This window comes from Homo sapiens, chromosome 20 (assembly GCF_000001405.40).
Source record: "Homo sapiens chromosome 20, GRCh38.p14 Primary Assembly".
Lineage (NCBI taxonomy): Eukaryota > Metazoa > Chordata > Mammalia > Primates > Hominidae > Homo > Homo sapiens.
In genome coordinates, this window is record NC_000020.11 from 47,442,666 (window position 1) to 47,455,762 (window position 13,097).

Here is a 13,097-nt window from a genome sequence, read left to right on the forward strand (position 1 = left end):
TGGGCACAGTGGCTCTTGCCTGTAATTCCAGCACTTTGGAGGCTGAGGCAGGTGGATCGCCTGAGGTCAGGAGTTCGAGACCAGCCTGGCCAATACGGCGAAACCCAGTCTCTACCAACAATATAAAAATTAGCCAGGCGTGGTGGTGCATGCCATAATTCCAGCTACTCAGGAGGCTGAGGTAGGAGAACGGTTTGAACCCAGGAGGCAGAGGTTGCAGTGAGCCGAGATGGCGCCATTGCACTCCAACCTGGGCAACAGAGCGAGACTCCGTCTCAAAAAAAAAAAAAATTAATTAATTAAATAAAAATAAAAATAAAAAAACACGTAACTCAACAATCTGAAAATAGAGCTGGGCATGGTGGCATATGCCTGTAGTCTATTCAGGAGGCTAAGCTAAAAGAATCACTTGAGCCCAGGAGTTCAAGATTGTAATGTGCTATGATCCTGACTGTGAATAGCCACTGCACTCCAGTTTGGGCAATATAGCACGATGCTGACTCGTTTAAAAAAACACGAACGTGAACGACCTGATTAAAAAATGAGCAAGGCCAGGCGTGGTGGCTCATGCCTATAATCCCAGCACTTTGGGAGGCTGAGGCAGGTGGATCATGAGGTCAGGAGTTCAAGACCAGCCTGGCCAAGATGGTGAAGCCCCATCTCTACTAAAACTACAATAATTAGGCGGGCATGGTGGCAGGTGCCTGTAATCCCAGCTACTCAGGAGGCTAAGGCCGGAGAATCGCTTGAACCTGGGCAGCAGAGGTTGCAGTGAGCCAAGAACACACCACTGCACTCCAGCCTGGGCAACAGAGTGAGACCTCGCCTCAAAAAAAAAAAGCCAGAGGTGGTGACTCATGCCTGTAAATCCAGCACTTTGGGAGGCTGAGATGGGTGGATTGCTTGAGCCCAGGAGTTCGAGACCAGCCTAGGCAACATGGCAAAACCCTATTTCTACAAAAAATACAAAAAATTAGCTGAGTGTGAAGGCACGGCCCTGTAGTCCCAGCTACTTGGCGGGGCTAAGGTAGGAGGATTGCTTGAGCCAGGAAGGTAGAGGTTGTAGTGTACCGAAATCACACTACACTCCACCCTGGGTGATAGAGTGAGACCCTGTCTCAAAAATAAATTAAAAAAAAATTAAAGGCCTGGCACAGTGGCTCACGCCTGTAATCCCAGAACTTTGGGAGGCCGAGGCAGGTGGATCACCTGAGGTAGGGAGTTCGAGACCAGCCTGACCAACATGGACAAACGCTGTCTCTACTAAAAATACAAAATTAGCTGGGCATGATGGCACACATTTGTAATCCCGGCTACTCGGGAGGCTGAGGCAGGAGAACCGCTTGAACCCGAGAGGCAGAGGTTGCAGTGAGCCGCGATCCTGCTATTGTACTCCAGCCTGGGCAACAAGAGTGAAACTACGTCTCAAATAAAAAAAAAAAAAAAAAGAAAAAGAAAATTAAAATTAAAAAATAAATGGGCAAAAAACTCTGAACAGATACCTTACCAAAGAAGATATACACGGCCGGGCATGGTGGCTCATGCCTGTAATCCTAGCACTTTGGGAGGCCGAGGTGGGTGGATCATGAGGTCAGGAGTTCAAGACCAGCCTGGCCAAGATGGTGAAACCCCGTCTCTACTAAAACTACAAAAATTAGCTGGGTGCGGTGGCAGGTGCCTGTAATCCCAGCTACTCGGGAGGCTGAGGGAGGAGAATCACTTGAACCCGGGAGGCAGAGGTTGCAGTGAGCCAAGATTGTGCCACTGTACTCCAGCCTGGACGACAGAGCAAGACTCTGTCTCAAAAAAAAAAAAAAAAATATATATATATATATATATATACACACACATAGCAAGACTCTCTCAAAAAATATATGTATATACAGATGGCAAATAAGCACATAAAAAAGTGCTTAATGTCATATGTCATTAGGGAATTGCAAATTAAAAAAATGAGGTACCACTACTCACCTATTAGATAACAGCTAAATTTTTTTTTCTTTGTTTTGAGACAAGGTCTCATTCTGCCACCCGGGCTGGAGGACAGTGACGTGATCACTGATCACTGCAGCCTTGACTTGCTGGGTTCAAGGGATCTTCCCACCTCAGCCTTCTGAATAGCTGGGACTACAGGTGCACGCCACCCTGCCTGGCTAATTTTTAAATTTTTTGTAGAGATGGGAGTCTCCCTATGTTGCCCAGGCTGGTCTCAAACTCCTGGGCTCAAGTAATCCGCTGGCCTCAGCCTCCCAAAGTGCTGAGATTACAGGCATGAGCCACTGTGCCTGGCCTAGGATGGCTAAAATTTTTTCTTTTCTTTTCTTTTCTTTCTTTTTTTTTTTTTTTTGAGGCGGAGTCTCGCTCTGTCGCTCTGTCGCCCAGGCTGGAGTGCAATGGTGATATCTCGGCTCACTGCCACCTCTGTCTCGCGGGTTCAAACGATTCTCCTGCCTCAGCCTCCCAAGTAGCTGGGATTACAGGCAAGTGCCACCATGCCTGGCTAATTTTTGTATTTTTAGTAGAAACGGGTTTTCACCATGTTGGCCAGGATAGTCTCGATCTCCTGAACTCATGATCCTCCCACCTCAGCCTCCCAAAGTGCTGAGGTTACAGGTGTGAGCCACCATGCCTGGCCGAATGGCTAATGACTAAAATTTTTAAAAATGACAACACCAAATGCTGGTCAAGATGTTGAGCAACAGGAGCTCTCATTCATTGCTGTGGAAATGCAAAATGGCACAGCTACCTCGGAAGACAGTCTGATAGTTTCTTCTAAAACTGAAATGCTCTTCCTACATGATCCAGCAATTGCACTCCTTGGCATTTAACCCAAGTGAATCGGAAACTTACATCCACACAAACACTCGCACACAAATGTTTATAACAGATGTATTCGTAATTGCCAAACTTGGAAGCAACCAAGCTGTCCTTCAGTAAGTGAATGGATAAACTGTGGTACGTCCAGACAGTAGAATATTATTCAGTGCTGGCCGGGCGCAGTGGCTCATGCCTATAATCCCAGCACTTTGGGAGGCCGAGGCTGGCGGATCACTTGAAGCCAGTAGTTCATGACCAGCCTGGCCAACATGGCGAAAACCCATCTCTATTAGAAAAAAAAAAAAAAAAAAATAGCCGGGCATGGTAGCACACACCCGTAATCCCAGCTACTCAGGAGGCTGAGGTGGGAGAATTGCTTGAACCCAGGAGGCAGAGGTTGCCGTGAACCAAGATTGCACCACTAAACTCCAGCCTGGATGACAGAGCAAGACTCTGTCTCAAAAAAAAAAAAAAGAATATTATTTAGTGCTAAAATGAAATAAGTCGCCAAAACATAAAGAGGTGTGGAGAAACCTTGCCTTAGTCTGTTTTCTGTTACTATAACAGAATACTAGAGACTAGGTAATTTATAAAGGAGAGAGGTTTATTTAGCTCAAGATTCTGGAGGTGGGGTTGTCTAAGATCTGCAGGATATGGGATTCAGCTTTTAAAAACTGAGCTTCTGGTCGGGCTTGTAGCTTACACCTATAATCCCACTACTTCAGGAGGCTGAGACAGGAGGATCACTGAAGGCCAGGAATTTGAGACCAGCCTGGACAAGATAGGGAGACCTCTTCTCTACAAAAATAAAAATAAAATGGGCCAGGTGCAGTGGCTCACACCTGTAATCCCAGCACTTTGGGAGGCTGAGGTGAGCGGATCACAAGGTCAGGAGATGGAGAACATCTTGGCCAATATGGTGAAACCCCGTCTCCACTAAAAATACAAAAATTAGGCCGGGCATGGTGGCTCATGCCTATAATTCCAGCACTTTGGGAGCACTTTGGGAGGCTCGTTCAATTCGAGCACTTGAACGCCTGAGATCAGGAGTTCAAGACCAACACGGTAAAACCCTGTCTCTACTAAAAATACAAAAATTAGCTGGATGTGGTGGCACGCACCTGTAATCCCAGCTACTAGGGAGGCTGAAGCAGGAGAATCGCTTGAACCCGGGAGGCGGAGGTTGCAGTGAGCTCCAATCATGCCATTGCACTCCATCCAGCCTGGGCAACAGAGTGAAACTGGGTCTGAAAAAAAAAAAAAGAATTAGCCAGGCATGGTGGTACGCACCTATAGTCCCAGCTACTCTGGAGGCTGAGGCAGGAGAATTGCTTGTAACTGGGAGGCAGAGGTTGCAGTGAGCTGAGATTTCACCACTGCACTCCAGCCTGGGTGACAAGAGTGAAACTCCATCTCAAAATAAATAAAATGGCTGAGCATGGTGGCTCATGCCTGTAATCCCAGCAATTTGGGAGGCCGAGGCAGGTGGATCATTTGAGGTCAGGAGTTTGAGACCAGCCTGGCTAACATGGTGAAACCCCACCTCTACTAAAAATACAAATAAATTAGCTGGGTGTTGTGGCACACGCCTGTAATCCCAGCTACTGGGGAGGCTGAGGCAGGAGAATCGCTTGAACCTGGGAGACACAGGTTGCAGTGAGCTGAGATCACACCACTGTACTCCAGCCTGGGCAACAGAGTGAGACTCCATCTCAAAAATAAATAAATAAATAAATAAAATAAATACAAATAAAAATAAAAATTAGGTGGACATGGTGGCCTGCAGTCTCAGCTACTGGGGAGGCTGAGGAGGGAGGATGGCTTGAGCCCAGGAGTTTGAGGCTGCAGTGAGCTGTGACAGTGCCACTGCATTCCAGCCTGGGTAACAGAGGAAGATCCTGTCTGTAAAAAACAAGCAGGCTGACCATGGTGGCTCATGCCTTTAATTCTAACACTTTGGGAGGCCAAGGTGGGAGGATTGCTTGAGCCCACGAGTTCAAGACCAGCCTGGGCAACATAGTGAGACCCCATCTCTACCAAAAAATTTAAAAATTAGCTGGACATTGTAGTGCATGCCTGTAGTCCCAGCTACTCAGGAAGCTGAGGTGGGAGGATTGCTTGAGCCCAGGAGGTCAAGGCTACAGTGAGCTGTGATCATGGCACTGCATTCCAGCCCAGGTGAAAGAGTGAGACCCTGTCTCAAAAACGAATGAATGGGCTGGGCGCGGTGGCTCATGCCTGTAATCCCAGGACTTTGGAAGGCCAAGGCGGGCAGATCACGTGAGGTCAGGAGTTCAAGACCATCCTGGCCAACATGGCAAAACACCATCTCTACTAAAAATACAAAAAGTAGCCAGGTGTGGTGGTGCGTGCCTGTAATCCAAGCTACTTGGGAGGCTGAGGCAGGAGAATTGCTTGAACCTGGGAGGCAGAGGTTGCAGTGAGCCGAGATCATGCCACTGCACTCCAGCCTGTGCAACAGAGCGAGACTCCGACTCAAAAAAACAAAACCAAACAAAAAAAAAGAATGAACAAAGAAAAATTGAGCTTCTAGTGAGGGTCTTGTGCTATGTCATAACATGATACAGAAGAGGAAGCAGACATGTGCAAAGTGACCAACACAAGAAGCAGTCTCGCTTTTTTTTTTTTGAGATGGAGTTTCACTCTTGTTGCCCAGGGTAGAGTGCAATGGCACAACCTCGGCTCACTACAACCTCTACCTCCCAGGTTCAAGCAATTCTCCTGCTTCCTGAGTAGCTGGGATTACAGGCGTGCGCCACCACACCCGGCTAATTTTGTATTTTTAGTAGAGACGGGGTTTCACCATGTTGGTCAGGCTGGTCTCGAACTCTCAACCTCAGGTGATCCACCCGCCTCGGTCTCCCAAAGTTCTGGGATTACAGGCGTGAGCCACCATGCCCAGCCTGCAGTCTTGCTTTATAACAACCTGCTTTGGAGCTGATGAATCCAATCCCATGGGATCGAGAACTCAAGGGAATGAGAAAGACCTTAATACATCTTAATGACCTAATCACCCCTTAAAGGCACCACCTACCAACACTACCTCATTGGGACAAAGTCACGACATAAATTTGAGTGGGGACAAACTGTATTTAAGCCATAGCAAACCTAAAATACTTATTATCAAATGAAAATAAGCCAATGTGGAAAGACTACAAACTGTATGATTCCAATTATATGACATTCCGGAAAAGGCAAAACTATGGAGACAGTCAAAATATCAGCAGTTTCCAGGGGTTAGGAAGGAGGAGATGTAGGTGGTACACCGAGGATTTTTAGGGCAATGAAATCATTCTGTCTGATACCATAATGTGCTTACATTTTACTATACATTGGTCAAAACCCATAGAACTGCATAATACCAAGAGTGAACCCTAATGTAAACTATGGACGTTGATTCATAATGAGGGGTCATGAGGGTTCATCAATTTTAACAAATATACCACTCTGGTGCAGGATGTTGATAATCAGGGAGGCTGTGCATGTGAAGAGACTGGGTATATGGGAACTCTCCATATTTTTTATTTTATTTATTTATTTATTTATTTATTTATTTATTTATTTATTTTGTGATGGAGTCTCACTTTGTTGTCCAGGCTCGAGTGCAGTGGCATGATCTCTGCTCACTGTAACCTCTGCCTCCCAGGTTCAAGCGATTCTTCTGCCTCAGCCTCCCGAGTGGCTGGGATTACAGGTGCCCACCACCATGCCCAGCTAATTTTTGTATTTTTAGTAGAGACGGGGTTTCACCATGTTGGCCAGGCTGGTCTCGAACTCCCAACCTCAGGTGATCCACCTGCTTCACCCTCCCAAGGGCTGGGATTACAGGCGTGAGCCATGGCACCCAGTCTATTTATTTATTTATTTGAGACAGGATCTCACTCTGTCACCCAGACTGGAGGACAATGGCACAATCTCTGTTCACTGCAACCTCCGCCTCCCAGGCTCAAGCGATTCTCCTGCCTCAGCCTCTCCAGTAACTGGGACTATAGGCATGCATCACCACACCTGGCTAATTTTTGTATTTTTAGTAAAGACGGGGTTTCACCATGTTGGCCAGGCTGGTCTTGAACTCCTGACCTCAAATGATCCACCTGCCTCTGCCTCCCAAAGTGCTGAGATTACAGATGTGAGCCATGGCGCCCAGCCCATATTGTTTTTTTTAGAGACAGGTCTTGCTCTGTGGCCCAGGCTGGAATACAGTGGTGTGATCATAGCTTGCTGCAGCCTCAAACTCCCAAGTTCAAGGGATTCTCCCACCTCAGTCACCTCCCAAATAGCTGGGACTGCAGACATGAGCCACCACGCTCATCTAATTTTTCTATTTTTTAGAGGCAGGGCATCCCCATGTTGCCCAGGCTGGTCTTGAACTCCTGGCTCCCAAAGATCCTTTTACCTGGTCTCCAAAAGTGTTGCAATTATAGGCATGAGCCACCATGCACAACCAGCTCTGTGTTTTGCCTTCAATTTTGCTGTCACTCTAAAACTGCTGTATATTATAGTCTATTTTTAAATTTAATTATTTTTATTTTTATTTTATTTTTTTTGAGACGGAGTCTCACTCTGTTGCCCAGGCTGGAGGGCAGTGGTGCGATCTCAGCTCACTGCAAGCTCCGCCTCCCGGGTTCACACCATTCTCCTGCCTCAGCCTCCCGAGTAGCCGGGACCACAGGTGCCAGCCACTATGCCCGGCTAATTTTTTGTATTTTTAGTAGAGACGGGGTTTCACCATGTTAGCCAGGATGGTCTTGATCTCCTGACCTTGTGATCTGCCTGCCTCGGCCTCCCAAAGCGCTGGGATTACAGACGTGAGCCACCGCGCCCAGCTTAAATTTTAATTTTAATTAATTAATTTATTTTTTGAGACAGAGTTTTGCTCTTGTTGCCCAGGCTGGAGTACAGTGGCACAAGCTCGGCTCATTGCAACCTCTACCTCCTGGGTTCAAGTGATTCTCCTGCCTCAGCCTCCTGAGTAGCTGGGATTACAGGCACCCACCCCCACGCCCGGCTAATTTATTTGTACTTTTAGTAGAGATGGGGTTTTGCCACGTTGGCCAGGCTGGTCTCGAACTCCTGACCTCAGGTGATCCACCCACCTCAGCCTCCCGAAATGCTGGGATTATAGGCGTGAGCCCCTGTGCCTTGCCTATAGTCTACTTTTTAAAAGGAGAGGGGGATTGGCCCTGAATGGATCAACTTAGGTCATATGACTCTCTCTGTTCTAATGAATGTGGCCAGAGGAATTGAGCACACTGGTTAGTCATGTTCAGGTGCATGCTCATCTCTGGAGCCAGGAGTGGAATCAGCCCTCCAAAACACATGGAGGCCAGGTTTGGTGGCTCATGCCGGTAATCTCAACACTTTGGGAGGCTGAGCCAAGCAGACTGTTTGAGCCCAGGAGTTTGAGACCAGCTTGGGCAACATAGTAAGACCCTGTTTCTAAAAAAGAAAAAATAAAAATAAATTAATTAACCAGGTGTGGTGGCATGTGCCTGTAGTCCCAGCTACTCAGGAAGCTGAGGGGGGAGGATTGCTTGAACTGGGTAGTTCAAGGCTGCAGTGAACTATGATTGTGCCACTGCACTCCTGCCTGGGCGGAAGAGCTAGACCCTGTCTTCAAAACCAAACCGAAACAAAAAAAACACACGGATTAGGGATGGGAGGGATAGAATCCTAGAAAGAAATTAAGGACTTGTTTCCAGAGAAGAGGGGAACAGATATTCAGAGGTTAAATCAATAGATATTGACTCTCCTAGGCAAAGAGGAGAATGAAATCCTTGTGATCAGACAGCACAGAGTCCAGAGGCCTTGTTGATAAAAGAGATGGAATTTGTGGAAATACTGAGTGATCCATTCTCATTTAGATGTCCAATTAACTCCCATTCACGTCAGCTTTATTAATTTATTGACCACCTAATATGTCCCAGACTTTGTGCTTGGAGTTGAAGAGACTTTTGTGAATAACAACTCAGCCAACAAGTCCATGAATTTTCAAAGGCTCCATGTTTATTCCGTGCACATTTAGAAGACCTTGCAAATTTCACCACTATGAAATTAAATTTCACATGGCCTAATTAGAATATCCGCACCCCTAAATTATTGCAATTGCAGAGAATCGGAGGGTTCAAAGGAAAGCAGGGCACTCACGTAATTCACCACAACCCCCAGGCTGCTGGAACACTTGGTTAACTTTTGACCTTGGCCAACTCCAGTGACCACTTGAAGGGAAGAAAGTGCCATCCCAGGATTGCCCATGATTACTCTTGGGTGGTTAGACCCCTAACTGTGTGCGTCAATCTGGAGATGTTGTTACTGTTCAAAAGAGGGGGACATGAACCACAAATTAATTGGTTTTACATAGGCTTTTAAAACCAACAAAATTAACTTTTTAATATTGTTCATGAAACGAAATACAAACCCTTTATTATTTTAAATTTTAGTGTCTGGACACTTTTGAAGTGGTTTTGTCCGTTTTTTTTCATAAAATACTGCCACTGCTCCATTACTGTTTGTGAGGAAGAAAGTATAATAACACATTGTTTTCTCTGCCCCCGCCACCACCCCACCATGGTTCCTGTTTTTATATATATATATGTATATATGTGTATATATATGTGTGTATATTTTTTTTTTATTATTTTTTTTTCTGAGACGGAGTCTTGCTTTGTCACCCAGGCTGGAGTGCAGTGGTGCGATCTTGGCTCACTGCAACCTCCACCTCCTGGGTTCAAGCAATTCTCCTGCCTCAGCCTCCCAAGCAGCTGGGACTACAGATGCGTGCCATTATGCTTGGCTAATTTTTTTTATTTTTAGTAGAGACAGGGTTTTGCCATGTTGGCCAGGCTGGTCTCCAACTCCTGGCCTCAAGTGATCCGCCCGCCTTGGCCTCCCAAGGTGCTGGGATTACAGGCTTGAGCCACCATGCCCGGCCTCTTGTTTCTATATTAAAGAGACATTTACCTAACTAGATAAAGACCTGCTATGCCATTAACTTAACTTTTTTTTTTTTTTTTTTTTTTAGAGACAGGGTCTCACTCTGTTACTCAGGCTAGAGGTGAGTGGCACGATCACAGCTAACCTCAGCCTTGACCTACCTGGCTTAAGTGATCCTCCCACCTCAGCCTCCCAAGTAGCTGGGACCATAGGTGCAGCGTAAGCCACCACATCATTTAGCAGAAACGGGGTCTTAGTATGTTGCCCAGGCTGTTCTTGAACTCCTAGGCTCAAGCCATCCAACCACCCAATCTCTCAAAGTGCTGGGATTACAGGTGTGAGCCACCACACCCATCTCACACCATTAACTCTTTCAGTCAATCTGCATTAAGCATTTAGTATGTACTTGGTACTATGGAAAGCATCAAAGAAATTGACACTACAGGTTCTAAAAACTTTCCATTGAGGAATTAAGACTTAGTCGGTCTCTAGCTGTGTGATCTTAAGCTAGTTACTTAATGTCTCTGAGTTTCCATTTCCTGATCTATAAAATAAGGATGAAATATTGCTCTTGCAAGGCTCTTGTATATCCATGTATTCAGCAAATATAGCTTGAGTTCCTACTCAGTGTTCCACACACCTTTAGGAAGCAGAGATTCAGTAGTGCTGGGCATTGGAAGGAGTTTTCAGTGGGGATGGAATCCAGGCTGCAAAGAGAAAGCATTTGTATGTGAACGCTTCTGGAAAATTACTTAAAGCTGGGCTCAGTGGCACACGCCTGTAGTCCCAGCTGCCCAGGAAACTGGGGTGGGAGGATCTCCTGAGCCCGGGAGGCTCAGGAGGCTGCAGTGAGCCATGATTGAGTCACTGCATTCCAGCCTGGGAGACAGAGCAAGACCCCGTCTAGAAAAATAAGTAAGTAAGTAAATAAATAATGACCTAAAACCATCCCAGAAGACAGGAACATGAGTCTCTGAAGGCCTCTGTATTAGCTATCTATTGCTGTGTAACAAATTGCTTCAAAATTTAGCAGCTTAAACCAATAAAACATTTATCTCACAGTTTCTGTGGGTCAGGAATCCAGGAGTGGCTTTGCTGGGTGGTTCTGCCTCAGGGTATCTGCCCTGTTTACAGTCATGCTGTTGGCTGGGCTGCAGAGGCTGGAAGCCTCTTTGGGGCCAGATGATTTGTTTCTGAGCTTGTTCATGTGGTTGTGGTCAGAAGGTTTCAGTCCCTCATGACATGGAAGCTGGCTCCCTCACTAAGTGAGAGAGAGAGAGAAACCAAGAGAGAAGTTTTAAGAAAGAGAGAGGGGCTGGGTGTGGTGGCTCACAACTGTAATCCCAGCACTTTGGGAGGCTGAAGCGAGCAGATCACTGGAGGTCAAGAGTTTGAGACCACCCTGGCCAACATGGTGAACCCCATCTCTACTAAAAATACAAAAATTAGCCAGGTGTGGTGGTGCACGCTGTAATCACAGCTACCCAGGAGGCTGAGGCACGAGAAGCACTTGAACCTAGAAGGTAGAGGTTGCAGTGAGCCAAGATGGTGCCACTGCACTTCAGTCTGGGCAACAGAGTGAGACTCCATCTCAAAAAAAAAAAAAAAAAAAAAGAGAGAGAGAGAGAAAGAACCAAGACAGAAGCAGTATTGTCATGATGCACCATCACTTCTGCCTAATTTTACGGGTCACACAGACCACCCTGGTGCAATAGAGGAGGGCACTGCACAAGGTGGGCACACCAGGAGGCAAAGGATCATTGGATCACTGGAGGGCATTTTGGAGTCTGGCTAACACAGCCCCATGACTTTTTTGTGATTTCTCATTTTATTTTATTTATTTTTTTGAGACAGGATCTCACTTTGTCACTCAGGCTGGAGTCCAGTAGCATGATCTTGGCTCACTGCAGCCTCAACCTACCGGGCTCAAGTGATCCTCCCACCGCAGCCCCCCATAAGTAGCTGGGACTACAGGTGCACACCGCCACACTTGGCTAAATTTTTTGTGTGTGTATATTTTTAGTAGAGACAGGGTTTTACCATGTTGGCCAGGCTGGTCTCGAACTCCTGAGCTCAAGCTATCTGCCTGCTTCGGCCTCCCCAAGTGCTGGGATGACAGGTGTGAGCCACTGCATCTGGCCCTGTTCTCACTTTAAATATTCACCTTTTTCCTTCTCCTCCTCCTCTTCCTCTCCTCCTCCTCCTTCTTCTTCCTTCTTCTTCTTCTACTTTTCTTTCTTCTTCTTCTTTTTTATTTATGTTTTTGAAACAGGAAACAGGGACTCGCTCTGTCTCCCAAGCTGGAATGCAGTGGTGCAATCACGGCTCCCTGCAGTGTCAACCTTCTGGGCTCAAGCAATCCTCCTGCCTCAGCTCCCGAGTAGCTAGGACTATAGGCACATGCCACCACACCTGGCTAATTTTAAAAAATCTTTTGTAGAGACAGGGTCTCACATGTTGCCCAGGCTAATCTCGAACCCCTGGCCTCAAGCAGTCTTTCCACCTCGGCCTCCCAAAGTTCTGGGATTATAGGCATGAGCCACTACACCTGGCCTAAACATTCACTTTTATACCTAATTTTGTACTTAAATTTTGTATTTGTTTTAAAGAAGGCTCCCCCAAATTGTCTAAGCTTCAGGTACCACAAAACCTGGATCCATCCCTGGTCCTAAGACAGGTCTTCAGTTTTTTGTGACAGTGGGTGTTAGAGATTTTGTACAAAAGTTCAGAAGCTGGACTCAGCCCAGCGAAAAGGTTTGTTGATCTGCCTGGGGGAAGGTGTGGATTTCAGCCCATCCCTGTATGCCTTCACTCAATACTCCTTTGAAAGCATAAGCTGCTGGAATTAAACCAGTGGTTTTGATGTGCTTGGAGCTGAAGATAAAGTCCTGTTTGCACACTGTAATGGTGTATTTAAACATTTTGACAATTATCAGGTGAAATCTTTGGCTGTTATTGACTCCGCTCCTCTGTAAGTGATTGTGTGCGGCAGGAGAGTCTCTCCACCACATGACTGGGCCCTCACTTACAGGTTAATTGACTTGTTTGGTCGCTTTCTTCTTAAGCCACAGGAGTGGTGAAATGCAATTTTTTTCTTGTGTTCTTTCGTAACACACCAAGACAAACAAAGCTGAGTTTTAAATCCTGTTGCATTTATTAACTTTTGAGGGTCTAGCTATGAGTTTTCAGAAACAACAACCAACCACCAGCTCTTCTGATCTTGGTTTGAATCTCTATGATCTGAGATAAATTAGGTTCCCCCCAAAAAAACACACCCCCACCCCAAGTTGGACACTGAATGATGTATTGGGAATTTGTTTGATACA

At 46.2% G+C, this 13,097-nt stretch overlaps 3 annotated features.

Moving 5' to 3' along the window:
* Positions 10,487-10,687: a silencer, noted in NCBI's record as "peak4230 fragment used in MPRA reporter construct". NCBI's record gives its function as "represses an SCP1 promoter by STARR-seq MPRAs in K562 erythroleukemia cells {active_cell/tissue: K562}" and the evidence as "EXISTENCE:reporter gene assay evidence [ECO:0000049][PMID:32103011]".
* Positions 10,766-10,966: a silencer, noted in NCBI's record as "peak4231 fragment used in MPRA reporter construct". NCBI's record gives its function as "represses an SCP1 promoter by STARR-seq MPRAs in K562 erythroleukemia cells {active_cell/tissue: K562}" and the evidence as "EXISTENCE:reporter gene assay evidence [ECO:0000049][PMID:32103011]".
* Positions 11,183-11,392: an enhancer, noted in NCBI's record as "active region_17995". NCBI's record gives its function as "activates an Ori minimal core promoter by ATAC-STARR-seq in GM12878 lymphoblastoid cells {active_cell/tissue: GM12878}" and the evidence as "EXISTENCE:reporter gene assay evidence [ECO:0000049][PMID:35858748]".